General features: G+C 34.1%; 1 long non-coding RNA gene across 1 annotated transcript in view; it reads right to left on the bottom strand.

Moving 5' to 3' along the window:
• LINC01036 (long intergenic non-protein coding RNA 1036) overlaps positions 1 to 21,523 on the bottom strand; it is a 267,403-nt gene that overhangs the window by 41,478 nt on the left and 204,402 nt on the right. The window contains exon 2 of the long non-coding RNA NR_126347.1: positions 15,228 to 15,301. This is a non-coding gene — a long non-coding RNA (long intergenic non-protein coding RNA 1036). The remainder of the gene's footprint in view (positions 1 to 15,227; positions 15,302 to 21,523) is intronic.

Genomic DNA, 21,523 nt, shown 5'->3' with positions numbered 1-21,523 from the left:
AAGGGAGGGTTTAGATAATAATAATGAATCCATTTTCCAAGAAGTCATAGTAATTATAAATGTATATTCATGAACATCAGAACTTCAAAACATCGAAGCTAATATTTATGAATTATTATATGCAAATTATGTATGAAACTAAGAATTCATATTTTCAGTTAGAGGACTATAAGGGAAAATAAATAAATTCCTATTTCCAGTTAGAGACTTCACCACTTCCCTCTCAGCAAATGGTTTCTCACAAGTAAACAGATATTAGTAAGGATTTAGAAGATCTGAACAATACCATTAACCGATGCGACTTAGTTGGCATTTAGAGAACCCTTCACTCAAAAATAGCAGGAATATAATGTACCAGTGCACATGGAGCTTTCACCAAGATATGCCATATTCTGAGCACTACACATTTTTAACACATTTTAACACATTTAAAAGTTTATCATATGAAATATGTTTTATGGACCATGACAAAATTAAACCAAAAATTATTAACAGAAAGATATCTGGAAGGACTCAAATATTAAGTCAAAGAAGTCAGTTGAAAGAGAAGGCCCAAAGAAAATTAAAACCATTGACTGAATGGAATTTTAAATATATCAGAATTGGACAGATAGAGTTAAACAGTAGTAAGTAGGACATTTATATAATTAATTGATTATATTAGAAATAAAGATATTTAATAAGAAGCCTGATCTTCTCCTTTAGAAAACTGGAAAAATCAGAGCAAATTGAACCCATATCAATCAGAAACATGGAAATAAGAGCAATTTAATTCTTCTGAACGTGAATGTCTGCTTTCCCAACTTGACTTATTGAAGACTGTCATTTCCCCAGTGTGTATTCTTGGAACTCTTGTCAAAGATCAGTTGATTGTTTATTCTTTGGTTTATTTTGGCTCTTTATTCTGATCCACTGGTCTATACGCCTATCTTTAGTAACATACAGATTTGATTGCTGTAGTTTTGTAATATAGTTAGAAGTCAGGAAGTATGTGATAACTTCCACTTTGTTCTGCCTCAAAATTGCAGTGGCTCACACCTGTAATCCCAACACTTTGGGAGGCTGAGGTGAGCAGATCGCTTGAGGTCAGGAGTTCGTGACCAGCCTGGCCAACATGGTGAAACACCGTCTCTACTAAAAATACAAAAATTAGCCAGGTGTGGTAGTGTGAGCCTGTAATCCAGGCTACTCGGGAGGCTGAGGGAAGCTGAGGCAGAAGAATCGCTTGAACCAGGTGGTGGAGGTTGCAGTGAGCCGAGATTGCGCCACTGCACTCCAGCCTGGGCGACAGAGCAAGACTCCATCTCAAATAAATAAATTAATAAATGAATAAATAAATAAATAAAATTGCTTTGGCTGCTCCTGGCCTTTTTTTGTTCCATATGAATTTTAGAATTTTTTTCTATTTCTTGGCAGGACACCACTAATTTTTGATAGGAATTCAACTGAACTTGTACATCTCTTTGTGTAGTGTGGACATTTTAACAATATTTTTCCAATGTATAAACATGAGATGTCTTTCCACTTATTTCTGTCTTTTTAAATTTTTTTTATCAGTGTCTTACAGATTTCAGTGTACATGTCTTTTACCTCAATTGTTTATTTTTAAGTATTTAATTATTATCGATGCTATTGTAAACATAATTGTTTTCTTAAACATTTTTTGAATAGTTCACTGTTGTTGTATAGAAATGCAACTGATTTTTGTATGTTGATTTTATATCCAGTTAATTTACTGAGTTCATTTATTAGTTCTAATGGTGTTTTATGGTGGTGGGGGGGGTGAGGTCTCTAGGGTTTCCTGCATGTAAGATTATGTCCTCTACAAGCAGAGATAATTTAATTTGTACTTCTAATTTGGATACATTTTATTGCCCAATTTATCTAGCTAGAACTTCCAATATTATACTGAATAGAAGTGGCAAGCATCAACATTCTTGCCTTGTTCCAAATCTTACAGGAAAAGCTTTCAGTTTTTCACCATTGAGTATGGTGTTAGCTATTGGCTTATCATATATGTCTTATATTGCATTGAAGTAAATTTCTTCTACACTCAATCTGTTGGAGACTTTTTACCATGAAAGGGAATTAAATTTTATCAAATGTTTTACCTGTAACTATGAAGATGATCATGTGATTTTTATCCTTCATTCTGCCAATGTGGTGTATGACTTGGACTGAACTTACATATGTTGAAGCACTATTGCATCCACAGAATAAATCCCACTTGGTCATGGTGTATGCTCCTTTTGATGGCTGTTAAATTTAATTTGCTCATATTTTGTGGAGGAATTATATATCCATCTTAATTAGTAATACTGACCTGGAGTTTTCTGTTCTTTGCCTTAGTATCTTTGCCTGGCTTTGGTATTCTGGTGATGTTGGTGTCATATGAAAAAGTTTGAAAATGTTCCCTCATCTCTTATTTGTTGGAAGGGCTTAAGAAGGATTGGTATTCATTATTCTTTAAATGTTTGGTAGAATTCACCTGTGATGTCATCTCGTCCTAGGCTTTTCTTTGTTGGGGGCTTTTCATTACTGATTCAATCACCTTAGTTTCTATTTGTTTTTGATTCTTCCTTGGTATAATGTATATTTTTAGTAATTTATTCAGTTCCATTTAGAGCCTTATCTTACACCATATACAAAACTTAATTCAAAATGGATTAAAAATTTAAACACAAGACGTGAGGCCATAAAGCTGAAAATACAGAAAAAAATTCTTGACATTGTTGTTGCCAATGATTTTTTGGATATAACACCAAAAGCACAGGCAACTAAAAGGAAATTAGATAAGTAACAAGTAAGACTGCATCAAACTAATAGGCTTCTGCACAGCAAAACAAACAAACAAAAACAATAAAATGAAAAAGCAACCTACAGAACAGAAGAAAATATTTGCAAACTATATATCTGATAAAGGACTAATTTCTGAAATACATAAGGAATTTCTACAAAACAATAACAAAAAACAAATGAACCAATTAAGAAATTAAGAACTGGGCAACATAACTGAATAGGTATTTTTCCAAAGAAGACATACAAGTGGCTGACAGATATATGAATATGCACTCAACATCACTAAACATCAGGGAACTACAAATAAAAAACACAATAAAATATTACCTCATTCTAGTTAGGATGGCTATTACTAAAATAAAAACAATATAACAATTGTTGAGGAGGATGTGGAGAAAGGGGAACACTTGTATACTGCTGGCAAGAATGCAAAATGGCATGGCTGCTTTTGGAAAAAAGCATGAAGTTTCCTCAAAAAGTGAAAAGTAGAATTACTATATGATGCAGCAATCCTGCTTAGGGGTATTTCTCCAAATGAACTGAAATCAAGATCTCAACCAGCTATCTGCAGTCCCATGTTTATTGCAGCATTAGTTGCAGTTGCCAAGACATGGAGGCAACACAAAAGTCCATTGATGGATGGATTTAAATTTTTTTACAGAAACATACAATGGAATATTATTAAGCATTAAAAAAAGAATGAAATACTGCCATTTGAGACCAAATGGATGAGACTGAAAGACATTATGCTAAGTGAAATAAGCCAGACACTGAAGGACAAATATTACATGATACCACTATATGAGGAATCTGAAATAATCAATTTCATAGAAATAGAGAGTAGAATGGTAGTTGCCAGGGACTGGGAGAAGGAGGAACAGGGAGGCATTTGTCAAAGGTTACAAAGTTTTAGTTATGCTGGATGAATAAGTCCTGGAGATCTACTGTACAGCAGAGTAACTATCTTTAACAATACTGTATTGTAGACCTAAAAATGTGCTCGTAGGGTAGACCTTATGTTAAGTGTTCTTATTACCAAAAAAAAAAAGAAGGTGAGAAGAAACTTTGGAAATGATGGGTATGTTTATGGTATAAATTGTAATGATAGGTTCATGGATATATGCTTATCTCCAAACTCATGTTATATACATTAAATATGTACAGATTTTTAAAATGTCAATTATACCTCAATAAAGTGGTTTTTAAAAGATAAGGTCTTCCAAGCTTGAAAGACAAAAAAATAAAAAAATAAATTTAAGTGCAGAGATTGGTGAAATTAAAAATTGTAAACCAATAGAGAAAGTCAATGAAATCTAAAGCTGATTCTTTGAAAAGAGCCATATAACTAACAGACAACTACCAGATTGACCAGCCAATGAGAGAGGGAAAGAATTAGTGAATATACAAATTGCCAATACCAGGATGAAAGAAAGAACATCACTAAAAACACAGAGTCATTTACAAACTAATAAAGCAATATTATAATCCACCCTCTGCTCATAAATTCAACAATTTAAATGAAATTACTCAAAAGGTAGAAACTCCCTACTCGTACTCAAAAACAAATAGGTAACATAAATAGTCAAGCATGTATTACAGAAATCAAAATTATGGTTAAGCATCCTCCAACAAAGGAAAGTCCAAGTCCAGATTGTTCCACAATACCTAGCAGTAAAGGCAGTCCTAGGACTTATGAGAATATTCCCTCCCTTTCAGACTGAACTTACAGAAACTGATCTGACACCTCAGTTAAAGCATAGAGGAGATTAATTGTTGGAAATTGAATGCTTCAGTGAATGAGTGCACAGCCTTATGGAACATCAGGTAAATTTACAGAACATAATTATATCTAAAAAACAGGCTAGAGACTGGGGTTTGAGCAATCTTCATAGATGTCTAATATCTTGAGAAATTATAACCATTCTTGGGATTGGAAAAAAATATTGTAGATTTACTTAACCTTCTTTAGGATCATTAATTCACTCATTGAAAAGAGTATTCCTTAAAAATTGGAACTGATACTGAGGGAGCAAGGTAACTAATACCAGTTAGATTACTGGAAGCATTAACTGACGTTATGTGTGGGAAAAAAAGAATCAGGGAGACAAGAATTTTGATTGTCTTATTTTTAACATACAACTAGAATCCTTCAGGGACTATGCAGGGCATGGAGAAGAAGTGACAGCAACTAAGAGAAAATCCACAAATTCCTTCATGTCTGTGGCAGAATGTGTGGCAACATTTGAAAGAGAATTTTGTAATCTGGGTAAATGTATATGAATATGTCAAATTTTTGACCACATATAAGGAGAAAAGCTGTCTTTGAGTTGGCAGTGTATCCATATAATTACTTTGAGCAGTATTTGATTAAGACAAATTAAATCAAGATTTTTATAAATAACACCATGTTGAAATTAAGCAGAAGTAAATAACATAAAACCAAAGCATCCGACAAAATTAAGGTACTTAATTTGAAGGTCACCAATATCAAGCCTCTGATAATATGTAGTTTACATACCAGTAATGTAAACACATCTTCTGGTCATTTTGTCATATAACGACTATGCTTCACTGGGCTGTTTTGACCTATTTCCACCAGCCACTCTCTTTAATTTAGTGCTTGTTTCCGTTGGCTGTCTGCAAGATATTTTCTAAGTGACTCAGCCCTTTCTCATTTGTCACTTCATTTTTTGACATATGACATTTCTTGACAATTCTGCTTGTATCAGGTTATTTTTCTATCAAATGGAAAATGCCAATACAGGGTTGTATTTAATAAAAGAAAGAGAAACAAGTTTAAACAGCTAAAAAAATGAGAATTTCAGAGGACTATCAACAATTACATAGGTGAGGAATTGGTGTTTACATTACTCCACATTCCTTTCACAGGTATTTATTTAAGGATTTGCCTGATAGAAGGTTATTTTTAAATTGTGTTTCTCAATTTCATATTTGATGGAATTTATGAATTACATAGAAGTTTTGATATTTAGCTATTACTCTAACATTAGAAACATTTATTAGCAGTATTTAACATTTTAAATTGTAATGAACTTGTTTTACTACCACTTTTCATTTGGCTCTACAGTTTTTTTCCATTTTTAATCTGCTGTTGTTTTCTGAAACTAATGCACATTCACTTACTGATTTTGAGAGATGCTAATAAAAATAAATGCATGTGGAAGAGTTAATTGCTAATTATAGTTATATGTAAATTAGATCCTATATTGATCCCATTTTTGCTATGGTAATAAGTGTAAATAAATTAAAAATATAAAATGCTATAACATTAGTTATATCAAAAACCATGTGTGATATACATATATACACATACAGTTAATTATATCAAAAATTACACTCCTGTATATACACAGACATATATAGCTTGAAAATTATTTATACTATAGATATGAGTATAGACATTAAATATAGATAAATAACAGCTAGCTAACTAGTCATATAAATACAGATAATATAGACAGATATAGTTGATATAAATATATATAAACGTGGAGGGAACATCATGGAGACATTCTGTCTTATCAAGTGCTTTTTCTTTTTTATTTAAATAGAAGTTCATTTTAATCACAAATTTCACACAATGCTTATTTACTTCCCTAGCTTTATGCTCTGCAGAACACAGAGATAAATATTTTTGGCTATGGATGAACTAAAGCTCTGATTTTAGTTTACAGTAGTTGGTCCTGAAATTTTCTAACCACTTTCAGTTACATTAATGGATAGTATTGATCAATATATCCTAGGAATCTTAGTAATATTTTCTTTTTATTTATTGAAAATTAGAATACTTTAAAAATTATCCTTTTTATTTCTAAGATGCTAATTAATTGAAACTAAACTTTAATAAGAAGTGCAAAATTTACAGCACACTTTAATTACTATATTAAGTTTCGTTCAGTATTTTGGCCTTACCTCTTTATGCATTACCTTCAGGTGAAAGAATGAATTCAATTTTAGTAACATTGCCACCACTGTGGGTTTTAGCAACATCAACAGATTAAAATATAACAATTCCAGGGATGTAGCACCTTGAAATCATTCATATTTATGTAAGATATTATGTATAATACTTTATTTAAAATATGTAAACTACGGTACCAAATGAAGTAAAATATATCAGTAGTCCAAAAAACAATTAAGAATTCAAGCAATAGGGATTATCTTGTATTCGTTTGATGGCAAAGTTCCATTCGTTTCCTATCATTAGGCTAAGCAAAGACAAAACTAATAGGATGGCCAGTGATTTTATTCATTTGGTAGAACCACATACTTAGTGGTGGTCAGTTAGGAGCTCATGTTACTCAAGCACCTCTGTGTTATTCTCTCAGCACCCTGTGTTATCCTATTGTGGTTGATAGCAAAGTTTAGTTTAGGTTGACAGCAGATGTTTTTTTCCTCAGGTATCCTCAGCCACATTGAAAGCTCCATGATGACCTGTTCTGTCAGTTTTGGTCACTCTTGTGTCCCTGGAGCCTAGAACTGCATCAGAAATACAGCAGGCATTCAATTAGCTTTTGTTAAATAACTGAATAAATACATCCATAGGCTTAATTTTTCATTTATTGCCATCAGACACGTGATGAAAACACAACCTTAACAATTTTTTAGTTTATTATCATTATAAGATATCCATATGTTTTCTCATATTCTCCCAGTAAGATTATTTCTGAGACCAATTCTTCTTAATAGTTCTTCAGATTAACTATCAAATGTAATGAGAAACTTCAATTTTTAAAGGTGCCAATGAATTTTGAAACAATCACTTTATTACAAAAAATGCCTTTAATATATTAGTTATAAAGTAGACACTAATAGAAATTTAGTTATAATTTTTAATATCACAACTACAAAGTATCTAAAGAAACATTGTTTTTATAAGTTAAATCTATTTGAACAAAGAGTAGAATTAAATATCCTGATAAATCGGTGGTGGAATATCTAAAATTAAAGTTCAATGGAGAATTATTGTAATTTTAAGATTACTTTGTGTCAAAGTGTATTTAGAAGTATGTTGTTCTTTTCAACTTTTATTTCTTCTTTCCTGAGAAACTCTTTCCCTGTATCTTACATATTTCTTTAGTAAAATGTAAATCCTGAAAGAATTTAGAACCGGTAATTTAGAGGCTGTAAAAGAATGTGGTGAGGAAAGTAGATTATAGAATCTCAAAAACGCAACAAAGAGAGAAATTGATGAGAATACTTTTAAATTCAAAGAAATGTGAACATTTAACTTTTGACTAAACCACAAATCTCAAAGTATATAAAATAGCTATTAATCCTGACTTCAAGCAAAAACAATTATTTTCAAAATAACTTCACCTAAATATACAAATGAACTACATATCATTCAATAACTCTCACCAAGATACACAATAACTAGTATGCATTTCCAACTACTAAAAAGCAAATGTCCCTGTAATTCTGGAGGAAAACACCCAGACCTCAGCTGGCACTAAAAAGAAGTGACAGCATAGTTTGTCATCGCAAGAATGTTGCTATATTCTGTTCATTATGCCTTACTCTCCATTATTGAACAGAACTGGGTGATCTTTATTTCATTTACTTTAATAGAAGACTCTTCTAAAATGCTTCTGGTTAATATTTGGTTTGAATGAAGCACTTTATTAAAAATGCTGGATGTTTCCACTTAACATAGCCTGAATAGCTGAAAGGGAAATAATGGCACAAGCATAAAATGGCATAATAAATCAAAGGACACCCTTTTCCTTCTAAACATGTCCAAGGTTAGTTTTCGTCTTAATAGAATTGCTGATCTGTCAACTGATCAACTGTAGATATGCTTGTGACTTGTTTCAATGGAAAGACGGATGCCAAAAATAATGAGAAATAATCCTCTGAGTCTTCTCTAAAAGCATTTTTGTTTTGCTGAAAATGCTTTGTATGCATTGAAAAATCTCTTCCCTTCCTCAGAGTAAAATTTCAATTGATTAAAAATAAAAAGACTTGGCTGGTTCATATTTGTAAGTGGCATGGAACAACAGATCATTATGGCATAATATTATTTTCAGGATTGACTTTAAGTTATAATGGTGGTAACAGTACTTGAACAGAAATATCCAACTCTATCAGGGATAAAAAGGTGTTATCACCATTTGAAAGATTAGGAAATTATGTAATCTGAAATAAGAACAACCTTCTCCTTGCATCAACAATAATTAGAGACCTCAAGATCAATGCTATCTCCTTTCCAAAATAAGAGAGAGAGAGAGAGACCTTTTCTTCAGCCATATATACATACCCTTCACCCCACCCTCCCCATATAGTGGACTACCAGTTACACTATCACAGATAACAAAAATTTTGAAATCCCTTCACACACTTACAGTGAAAGTTACATGAAAACTCTCATTTAATCTCTGGAAAAGATAAAGAGTCTCTGAAGAGACAAAAAGCCTTGGTTGTGCCATATCACATCAACCACAATAAAGCTTTTAGTCAGGAAGATGGCACAATGTAGAGGTATTTTAAGCAGTTTTGAAATTAGATGTGCACAAAGGAAGCAGAGAAAATATCTATATTGTTCACCCTTTAGGTGAAGATCTAGTAGCCTCATGTAAAAGGTCAGGTTGGGCTAAGTGGCTCTACCATGTCAGGCTAAGCGTTCAAGTCTTGCTGATACAGTATGCTCCTATATTAAAATATCTCAGTTCAAATCATCTGTCTAAGCTTCTTTATGTAGAAACCAAGTCTTACTCATGATGGAATCCCAGTGTCTAGTGCACAGTAAGCATTCCATAAATCCTTGTTGAGCCCCTGCAGAGGCGTACATTTCATTTTATTAGCCATCAAATTTCAAGGTCCTCCCAGGGATGGTCTAAACAGGATTTTGCTCGAGTTCTAATCAAGGACTATACATAGAGGAGCAGAGACTCCTAATGCTTCAAAGGGCAATTAGCACCGCTTTAACTCATTCACAAATCCTTAAAAATTCGAGCACATACTTTTACACTGGACATACTTTTACACTGGAGGATGGCCCTTTCAATAAAGGCAAATCATTTAGAAGTCTAATACAATATTTCATTTGGATAGATGTCCTGGTGCTGTTCAAGCACAGTGAAGAATACTGTAAAACTTTAATTTGGTAGAGCACAAAGGTATCTTTTAAATTCCTTTATTTTAAGTTATTAGTCAAATTATTTTAACCTGAGCTTTCAAAAAAGTATTCTCAGGAGAAAATCAGAGAAAATGATGCATTTAATATATGTCAAGATCAAGAAAACACACACACGCATACACCCCCCACCAGACAATCGTCAAAATACTTACTACAATCTTTTGGCCCATCAGCTTAAGAAAAATAGCTGTAACATCCTTTTTTTGTGACTCAGGAGGAACATAGTCAAATGAAATAAGATAATTCAAAGAGGTCTTCACTTTTCATTTACTTCTATTACTGATGCGATTCTGATATTTTCAGGACATTTCACTTTCATTTTAATCTTCTGATGGCACAGTTTGCATCTGTATTGCTAAATTCAGCTTCTCAGATTTCATTACTGCATTTTACCAAAAAACAAATACAAAAAACTTTTCTTCATATGAATTATTGAATAAATGTAAGCAATGGAAGTGCAAAGGTGAAGTGAACAGATAAAAGAAAAAAATACAAGAGAGAGACTAATTTCATTAAGTAGTATTTTAAGTGTGCTTTCATTGCATGTGACTTTGAGATTTATAACATTTATTTTAAAATTCAGGATGCAGTAGAAAATATATCAATAGATTAATGTATTTATGATTAACCACTGTGTGCAGCTTGATAGATTTCATAGTATAAACAAAGAAAAAAGAAGTAAAATTACTAAAAAATCAAAAATAGTAAAAAATGATGTGTACCCTAAGAAGACTTTTTTCCTCTGAAGAATATTTCTTGAAATTATACCTTTTCAAGACTACAACTATAAAAGATAAGAGGAAGTTAAAATTCTACTTCTGAAAATGCAGCACAACTTGCTGAAAATAATGGTTCAGTGACAGAAATAAATGCATCTAAGAGTATGTGAGTATAATTATGTACTACAGGTAGTAAATGTCATGTTGTTTCAATGATTTTATGGATATCAAACTCATCTGTATGCTATTTCTAATAGCAATTTTATGACTAAACTAATAAATATAGGAAACTGTTCTGATTTTAATAATTCATGGTTTCTTATGGTAGTAGTTTATTTTGGCTAATGTAAAATGATAAATCTGAAGGCTAAGGTTAAAGCAGGCCTTGAAAAATAGCCCAAAATATTATATGCAATCCTTGTCCTAGATCTTCCTAAAGTCATTATTGCATTTTCTGGAAGTATACTGTAGGGGCTTCTTTTCCACTTCAAAGTTAAAGCCATTAAACTTACTGTTCCATGTAATAAATTAATAAACAAGAATAGATTAACCAAATGATATGGAGCATTACCTTCTTCCAGTTCCTCTCATTCTCATCTAGTTCGTTGTTGTTTCTCTCTTGGGAAGTGGGGAAAACTTCTATTTAAATTTAGATTGAATAAAGTGCTTGGTAAGATATTTCAGAATCCCAGAAGTGTGGTATGTGGTGGAGAGAGGAAAATGGCTTTTTTTTTTTTTTTTTCCTGGAGCTTTTGAATACGTTGGCCTGTGAGCAGGTCTGTTGAGCATGGCTGCCAAAATATACTGGCAGTCATTTAGGCTCCCACCAGAGCTGAGAAAGCAACCCAGAAACAATTTCCCTAAATACCAACTGTCTTATGTGGCTTCATGAACTATAATATTGACCTTCTTTATGAGCGTTTGTCTTCAACTTGTAAAAATACCACAGGCTTCGCTATGCCAAGGAGAGAAAGATCAACAGCAGCAACCACTAAGCAGCCTTTCTTTTTGATTAAAGATCTTCTTGGGCATTTATTCTCACTGTCACTTCCACCAAGAGGGACCTTATCATAATTAGGAAGGCCACCCACACTATCTATGGCTGGGGTGAGGTGTAATTTAGCAAACTGGAGCAATGTTGGTAATGAAAAAGGGTCCAATTAACCACGACACTAGGACAATAGTATAAATTATGACTGTCCCAGGCAACCAAGACAGGCTACTCGTTTATGATCACTCATCTATGACACACAGCAGCTTGACAGTTTTTCAGCTTTTCATATTGGCAAAACGTTTCCATCACTTTGAAAAAAAAATCTGATCATGCCACTTTGTTCTGTATAAGCAGGTGTGGTCTGTGAACTAGTGGAATTTTGACAATCTGTTGAGGCTAGACGCATTTGGTTTATGTTAATATAATGCTTCAAATTCTTTAATTTAAAATAAATTTTATAGAATGCCCTTTAATTGATTATAATTATCTCATACAATTCAAACTTGTAAATTTGTGTAAGTTCTTTATAGATTCTGGATATTAGACCTTCGTCAGATGCATTTCCCCCACTTCTCTAGGTTGTCTATTTACTCTGTTGATAGTTTCTTTTGCTGTGCAGAAGCTCTTTAGTTTAATTAGCCCCCATTTGTGAATTTTTGATTTTGTTGTAATTGCTTTTGGCGTCTTCATCATGAAATCTTTGCTCGTTTCTGTGTCCGGCATGGCATTGCTTAGGTGGTCTTCCAAAGTTTTTATAGTTTTGGGTTTTACATGTAAGTCATTAATACATACAGGATTAATTTTTGTACATGGTACAAGGAAGGAGTCCGCATATGGCTAGCCAGTTATCCCAGTATCATTTATTGAATAAGTAGTCCTTTCCCTATTGCTTGTTTTTGTCAAGTTTGTCAAAGATCAGATAGTTGTAGGTGTGCATTCTTATTTCTGGGCTCTCTATTCTGTTCCATTGGTCTATGTGTCTGTCATTGTACCAGTACCATGCTGTTTGGTTACTGCAGCCCCGTAGTATAAAGTTGGATAGCGTGATGCCTCCAGCTGTGTTCTTTTTGCTTAGGATTGCCTTGACTATTTGGGCTCTGTTTTGGTTCCATATGAATTTTAAAATAGCTATTCCTAGTTCTGTGAAAAATGTACTTGGTAGTTGGATAGGAATAGTATTGAATCTATAAATTGCTTTGGATGGTATGGCCATTTTAATAATATTGATTCTGTCTATCCATGAGCATGAAATGTTTTTCCATTTGTCTGTGTCCTCTCCAACTTCTTTGAGCAGTGTTTTATAGCTCTCTTTGTAGAGATCTTTCACCTTGCTGGTTAGCTGTATTTCTAGGTGTTTTATTCTTTTTATGGCAATTATGAATGGGATTGTGTTCCTGACTTGGCTCTCAGCTTGACTGTATGTATGTCTCAGCTTGGTGTATAAAAATGCGAGGTATTTTTGTACATTGATTTTGTATCCTGAGACTATGCTGAAGTTGTTTATCAGCTTCAGGAGCTTTTGGGCCAAGACTATGGGGTTTTCTAAATATAGGATCATACCATCTGCAAACAGGGATAGTTTGACTTCCTCTCTTTCCATCTGGTTGCCCTTTATTTCCTTCTCTTCCCTGATTGCTCTGGCCATGATTTCCAGTACTATGTTGAATAGGAGTGGTGAGAGAAGGCATCCTAATCTTGTGCCAGTTTTCAAACAACCCCATTAAAAAGTGGACAAAGGATATGAAGAGACACCTTTTAAAAGAAGACACACATGCAGTCAACAAACATATGAAAAAAATTTCAACATCACTGATCATTAAAGAATGCAAATCAAAATCACAATGAGATACCATTTCACACCAGTCAGAATAGCTATAATTAAAAAGTTAAAAAATAGCAGATACTGGCAAGGTTGTGGAGAAAAAGGAATGCTTAAACACTGTTGGTGGGAATATAAATCAGTTCAACCATTGTGGAAAACAGTATAGTGATTCCTCTAAGACCTAAAAATAGAAATACCATTTGACCCAGCAATCCCAGTACTGGGTGTATACCCAAAGGAATATGAATCATTCTATCAAAAAGACACATGCATGCCTATGTTCATTGCACCATTATTCACAATAGCAATGACATGGAATCAACTTAAATGCCTATCAATAGACATTTAGTGGTACATATGTATGATGGAATACCATGCAGCCATAAAAAAGAATGAGATCATGTCCTTTGCAGGATCATGGACGGAGGTGGAGGCCATTATCCTTAGCAAAGTAAGGCAGGAAGAGACAACCAAATACCACATATTCTCACTTATAAGTGGGACCTAAGTAATGTGAATGCATGGATACATAGAGGAGAACAACAGACACTAGGGTCGATCAGAGGGTAAAGGATGGGAGGAGGGAGAGGATCTGGAAAAATGACTAATTGTTACTACTAGGCTTAAAACCTGGGTGAAAAACTAATCTGTACAACGAACCCCCATGACCCAAGTATACCTGTACAACAAATCTGCAAATGTATCTGTGAACTTAAAAGTTAAAAAAGCCACACAATTCAAACTGCCATCTCTATTTTATATACCTTCAATTAGATTCTTCTTTCATACTTCTAAATCCACTTCAATGAACACTCAAACTCCCCTAAACCCATATTTCCTCTCCTTTTTGAGAATCACTGGACTTATGTCATATCTAAGGGATAAATTTATACTAATGTATAGAGAAAAGCAAAGTTCAAATATCGAACATTGATTATGTTGTTGTCATGAAAGAAATGTATTCTTTTTAGTAAACAAAAATGCTAAATCTGCTTGTATTTTACAAATATATTTTGAAAAATAATCATTTAATGATGTAAAAAGTTCTTGCTTGCGTCATTACACGCAAAGGCAGAATCTTATTTTTTAATTTTCTTCAAAAAGCTCTCTGTCTTGATAAGACATCTGCCTATGATGGATAGCCTAAAGGGCCAGGCGCAGTGACTCATGCCTCTAATCAGCACTTTGGGAGGCCGAGACGGGCAGATCACTTCAGGCTAGGAGTTCAAGACCAGCCTGGCCAACATAGTGAAACCCCAACTCTACTAAAAATATAAAAATTAGCTGGGCATGGTGGCGAGCACCTGTAGTCCCCACTACTTGGGAGGCCAAGACAGAATCACTTGAGCCTGGGAGCCAGAAGGTGCAGTGAGCCAAGATCATGCCACTGCACTTCAGCCTGCCTGGGTGACAGAGTGAGACTCTGTCTAAAAGAAAGAAGGAAAGAAAGAAAGAAAGAAAGAAAGAAAGAAAGAAAGAAAGAAAGAAAGAAAGAAAGAAAGAAAGGAAGGAAGGAAGGAAGGAAGGAAGGAAGGAAGGAAGGAAGGAAGGAAGAAAGGAAAGAAAGAGAGAGAGAGAAAGAAAGGAAGAAAGAAAGAGAAAGACAAAGAAAGAAAGAAAGAAAAAGAAAGAAGGAAGAAAGAAAGGGAAGGAAGGAAGGAGAAAGAAAGAAAGAAAGAAGAAAGAAAGAAGGAAAGAAAGAAAGCCTAAGAAGAGGTGATTTTACTTACTTACCTTTGCTAGTGATTTTAAAATAATGCTTGTTGATAGTCTCAGGTTCACTTACTCAACAAATGTTTTTTGAGCACCTACAATAAAAAGGCATCCTTTTAAGCACTGGCAGGAAAAGTACTGAAGAAGTTGTATAGGGTTTCTGCTTCGGGACATTTATGTTTGAGATTAGAGTGGAAAGACAGAAAAGAAATTAATAAATCAACCAAAAATACCAGTAGTGACAAATTATAATAAGATAAACAGGGTAATGTGACAGCAAATGTCTAAGTCAGGGAAGGCTTTGCTAGAGAGTGGTCATTTAAGAGTAGAGTTAAACTTGGCTAGAAAAATGAATCTAATGCTGTCCTCAAAATAATTATGCCGCCTTCTTATTTTCTTTTCTATCTTCTTAATATCTCAGTATCATCTAGTTTCTACCCATTGATTAAGGATTCAATCAACGAAACTTACACATTTTTTGAATTTGGTAACACTCCATAAATGTCTTGTCCTGTATATAAGCACTTCTAGGATGGCAGGCTATAAGGTGAGAAAATCTATTAACCCAACATCTTAAAGGTTAACAAAATAAAGATGAAAGTACTTATTTATTTAATGGGTTTGGAATTTGTTAAAAATGACAATTAAAATTAATCCTGACAAATAGACCAGTAGAATAGAGAATCCAACAAGTGACCCAGATATATGAGGTTCCATGAATTATAACTAAGGTGACACTAAAGTAGAGAGGGGGAGAAGATGGTCTTTTTGCTAAACAGTTCTGGGTCTAGGTCAGTTGGCTAAACATATGAAGCAAAAAAGTTACCTTGATTCCTACCTTGTACCATGTATAAAAACATTTCCAAGTGAATCATACATAAATGTGAATGGTAAATTGACAAAGCTTTTGGGAAAAAAAGTAGGCAAATATCTTCAGGATTATGAAGATACAAAAGGTGCTAACTCCAAATGAAATCATTGATTATAAGATTACAGTTTTAACTTTAAAAATCTGTTTATTCACAGACACCATTAAGAGAAAAGGCAAACCACAGAGCAGGAGAAAATAGTTGCAACACATAGATCCAATAAATCCAGAATGTACAAATGACTCCTACCAATTTAGAAAAAGTCATACAAGTCAATGCAAAGTTGTCAAAAACCTTCTATAGGACTTTTATAACAAAGAAAACTAAAATGACAAATAAATATAAGAAAAATGGCTCAAGGTCCAGGCACGGTGGCTCAAGCCTGTAATCCCAGCACTTTGGGAGGCAGAGGCGGGCAGATCACCTGAGATCAGAAGTTCAAGACCAGCCTGGCCAACATGGTGAAACCCTGTCTCTACTAAACATACAAAATTAGCCAGATGTGGTGGCGGGCACCTGTAGTCCCACGTACTTGGGAGGCTAAGGCAGGAGAATCTCCTGAACCTGGGAGGCAGAGGTTGCAGTGAGCTGAGAAGCCAAGATTGCTCCACTGCCCTCCAGCATGGGTGACAGAGCAAGACTGTATCTCAAAAAAAAAAAAGAAAAAAAAGAAAAGAAAAAAAGAAAGAAAGGGGGCCCAACTTCCTAACTCATTATGAAAATAAATAGTAAGACGGCACATGATACCACTGCACACATATCAGCTTGGATAAAATTTTAAAATAAAATGACACATAATCCCAATTGTTAGCAATGATGTGGAATAATTGCAACAATCAAGCACTGAGTATAGGCGTGTGACTTGGTATAATCGCTTTGGAAAGCAATTGGCAATATGCACTAAAGCAGAACACACATATTGCTTATGACTAGCAATTCTATTCTTATGTGGTTCCTCCTAAATAGTGGACATATGAGCTCACCAAAAGCAGGTATAAGACTTCTTATAGTTGTACTGCTCTCTATAAGCAAAAATTGGGAGCACGTGTCCATCCACAGTAGAACAGATAAATAAACTGTGGTATATTAATATAATTGAATACTATTCAGCAGAGGTTGGCAACTCTGACCTATGAGCCAGTTCTAGTGTGAGGCCTGGTTTTTTTTATGACTTGCACACTAAGAATAACTATTATATTTTTAAAGTACTGTAAAACGCACAGACACACACCCACAGAAGAATATGACACACATCTGTATGTGTCCCGCAAAGCCTGAAATACCTTATATCTGTCTCTTTAAAGAAGATATCCACTGATGCCTGTTATACACTAATGAGAATAAATAGATACACCTATGCACAACAACATGGATGAACAGCAGACATAATGTTAAGAGAAAGGTGCTAGACATAAAAGAAAATACAAAGTACACTTCATTTTTAAAAGTCCAAAAGCTAGCAAGACCTACATATGATGTCAAACGTAAAGATAGTGGTTCCTTTGGAGGGTGGGTAACCCCTGGGAAAGGGTACAAGAGGTCTTCTGGATTTGGGATAGTGTCTTTTTTAAAAAAACAGTAAACTAGTTATACAGCTGTGTTTAGTGGTAGAAATTCCCTGAGCTGTACACATATAATAATGTGCACTTTTCTATGTGTATGTTACATTTATACTTTAATAGAATTTAGAAAAAATAACTCCCCACAATAATTGACAAGAATGCACATCACAACATTATTTGAAGTAGATAAAAACTAGAATAAATCAAATTGTCCAAGAACAAATCTGGTTAAATAAATTATACTTTACCCATACAATGGAATTCTATGCAACCACAAAACAATAAACTTATAAAATATTTGTTTATACTGAAAGATGAAAACAATAGAATTTTAAATGACTTTAAAAACTATATGCTGAATAAATATTTTGCAAAAACACAAACACATACAAAGATCTCAGCCTAGAAGAATATGCCTAAGGAATGGATCATACCTTCCTCTGGATGTGAGATTAAAGATGCTTTCACTTTATTGTTTTTTTGTTTGTCTATTAGTACTTTCTGATAATTTTTAAATAAAATATTTTTGCAAAAAAAAAAACTACCCTAAAATGTATACCATTTTAAGTACTTCTGGAAAAGTTTGCAATTGATACTATAATTTGAAAGCTAGAGGAGCTGCTCTGGCCAATGTCACTCTGAAAGGGTTTGAAGATATGTAGAAAAATGTATTAGTATCCGCAGCTGCAGGAGAGCTCTATAAATACACAGCTTCTAGTTAGGTCTCTCAGTATAAGATCCCAACCTCAAACAGATCTAAGGGTTTACAGTATCAAAAGTGTCACGCTGACATTTCCATCACCATTCATTTATAAGCATCATAAACCCCTGGGGGTGATAGATGACTTCCCTCTCTTGCTGATAAAGAGAAGCTGACATTGCTTTATTATCTCTTCAAGGTTAAAAATCAATGGTTTACTTGTGAAAACATCTGTTTGTAAGCTTGTCTTTGCTTCTCTCAGGGGCCATATTTACATGCTGGGTTTTAAGCATGCCAAAATGTGAAGCTTAAGTTTCATTTGGCTCATTTTCTTTTTAAACATGCCAGCCTGGCTCTCTACGAGAGAAAAGAAAGAAAAAACCCCCAGCAGTGTAAGCTTATACTTATCCATTTGTAATGAGAACAAGTTAGATTTTACCTGTTAAAAATTAATGAATAACATCTCTGAGCAGGTGACTAGAGACATGAGTATTGATTTTAGATCAAGTGATGGATGTAGAATAAATGTCAGCCAAGGGAATTCAAATAAGGATAACTATACAGTTGTTGCTGTTGTTGTCAGAGAAGCCTATGGAAAATGGATTACATTATATATAGAGAGACCGAGGAATTTTTCACATTTAATTGACTCATCTTCATTTTTTAAAAATCTCATAAAATAGTCTACAGGACAGCTAAGGACTTCCCATTCAAACATCTTTGACACAAGAGACAAGAATTTGAATTTTAGGAAAACACTGTCATCAGCATCCTACAGTCTGCAAGAGTCAGTTCATGGGTGTTTTTAAGAATAGTTTTCCAGATTTTCTCAGTACTCTATACATAGCATCTCAAATTCAACATAGCCAAAAAAGAAACAGAGCACCTCTATCAAACCCCAAATCAACTTTTCTCTAGAACCTTCATATCTCTTCTCTTATTTCTATTCTCATCTCTAGTTTTGGGCAGCTTCACCTTCCCAGTTTGCTCAGGCCCCAAACCTCCATGTCATCCTTGACTCCTATTTCCCTCAAACCCCATATCCACTGTCAGCAAGTCCTGTGAGATTTAATTACAAAATATGTCCAGAAATCTACATACTCCCTTCACTCTGCTGCTGCTACCCTGATCTAAAGCACCTCCTCTCTCATGTGGATTACTGTAGTCTTCCAACTCATCTTCTGCCTCTGCCCTTGGTCCTTTGTAAATCTACTACCAACCTAAGGCCCACAGACATTCTACTAAAAAGCAAGTGAACTGATCTCATACTTTTGCTCATATTTTTCCAGTGGATCCCCAACTTGCTGAAAGAAAAAAGTTCTTGCACTGACCCTCAAGACCATATCAAAATATGACCTTTCACTCCTTTGCAGTATTTCTTGACCAGGCAAAAATTCATGTATTCTAAGTTCCATTTAAATGTTACTTTCTGTTCTTTGTGGTTTTGTACATCATCTAAAATAGTAACTTCTTTTCTATTCTGATAAGTCATCTCTTAATTTTGGAGCTTACCTGTGTAACAGCTAGTAGATTATATTTAGTGAATTCATCAAGTTTAAAGATAATTTTCTCATAAATGATGCTATATCATATAGAAGAGTCATATATACATACAAAGCTTAACAGATAAAATTTAATGCACATATTTGCTTTAAAAATCTGTGATCTTAGAGCTAATATATTTCTAAAGAGTAATACAACATCCATAAGCTCCAAAAGATGAATACAGTTATATAATTGATGCTATTAAACTGAAGGCAGTCATGAATGCTTCAGGATCATTTCAATTTTGGATAAGAAGGAGAGGCCAAAAGTTGCATATGCAATTTTTAGAAGATAATTAAATAATCCTGGTTATACAGATTAATCAAATCAAAGCAGAGACTTGGAGAGAACATTTCCGAGGTAAAATCTTAATCTCAAAAAAGAGACTATTAATCTTACATCTAGAGCCTGAGACTCCTAACTTCAGTTTCCCAGGACTTTATGGCTTTGCAAACAAATAAGAGAAAGATTTGATTCATCGTTTACATTGTTTATTTCTCACGCAGATTGCCTATGAAACCAATGATGTGTTCTCAGACTCACTAGTATTTATCCGTATATTTTAAGAACATTGGTAGAATCATGTATGGTTTACCTTCAGCTTCCGCCTGGAAATAAAACTACTTTAATCATTCAGAGCATGATGTTTGGGACTGCAGCCTCTCAGACAGATCAACTGGGTTGTAAGCCCATCTCTAACACTTGCAGACTCTAACCTAAGGCAAGTTATTTAACCTTTCATTCTGTCTTTGCTTTTTCCTTGAACTTGCTGGTAACAAAAATAGCTCCAATTTAGGACAGATGTTGTGAGGAGTTAGTACATATGAAACATATATTTTCTAAGAATGCAATAAACATTATTTGTTACCATCTTTTTACTAGCAGCTGCTACTCCTACTCTAATCTACAATTTTAAATAAATTAGACAAGCAGATAGTGAGCTTATTTTTTATTAGACTTTCTTTAAAGAGATGTAAATTCGAATATTTGTGAGTTCTGTAATGATTCAGTAAAGCTAAAGATAAACTCAGCAGCACTAAATCATGCATGTCTGTAATCAGTACCTTTACCAAAATGTTAATGTGATTTGAAGGAAGGACAATGGGTAGGTCTTTGTTTAGAATCTCCCAGAGGCAGACTTTATTCCAAGGATTTAGACACAGGTAGTTTATTTGGAAGTGACACCAAAAAACCTCAGGTAAAGAGTATAAAAGCAGGAAAAGGAGGCTATGGAAGCCAAAAAAGAAAATAGTTCCATCAGTGAAATCTGGGTGCCCATGTAGAACACCAATTTCAGTTATTCAGGCTAAAAAGTAGTGAGGGAGCAGGAGTACTTATTCACCAATACCCAGTAGTCATTGGTTAAGTGCTACTCCAGGGTGGTAGAAATGCCTTGGCACTTCCAGCCTGACTGATGGAGCCAGAGATCATCCTCAGACAGAATCACAGATTCTAGCATTAGAAATACCATTTCCATGCATATTGGTGTTACCTAAGTGCCAATGGCTACGGGCAGGACACTAGCAGCATCTGCTACATAGAGTAAATAGAGAAGGAAGAAAGGTCAGAATCAGAACAGCATTTATAAATGTCTGTACAAGGAAAACCTAAGTAGAACGGGTAGGTATTCTGTTTTTGAAA

This window comes from Homo sapiens, chromosome 1 (genome assembly GCF_000001405.40).
Source record: "Homo sapiens chromosome 1, GRCh38.p14 Primary Assembly".
NCBI lineage: Eukaryota > Metazoa > Chordata > Mammalia > Primates > Hominidae > Homo > Homo sapiens.
Note: the sequence above shows the minus strand (reverse complement) of the source record. Positions and strands in the feature narration are given on the sequence as shown.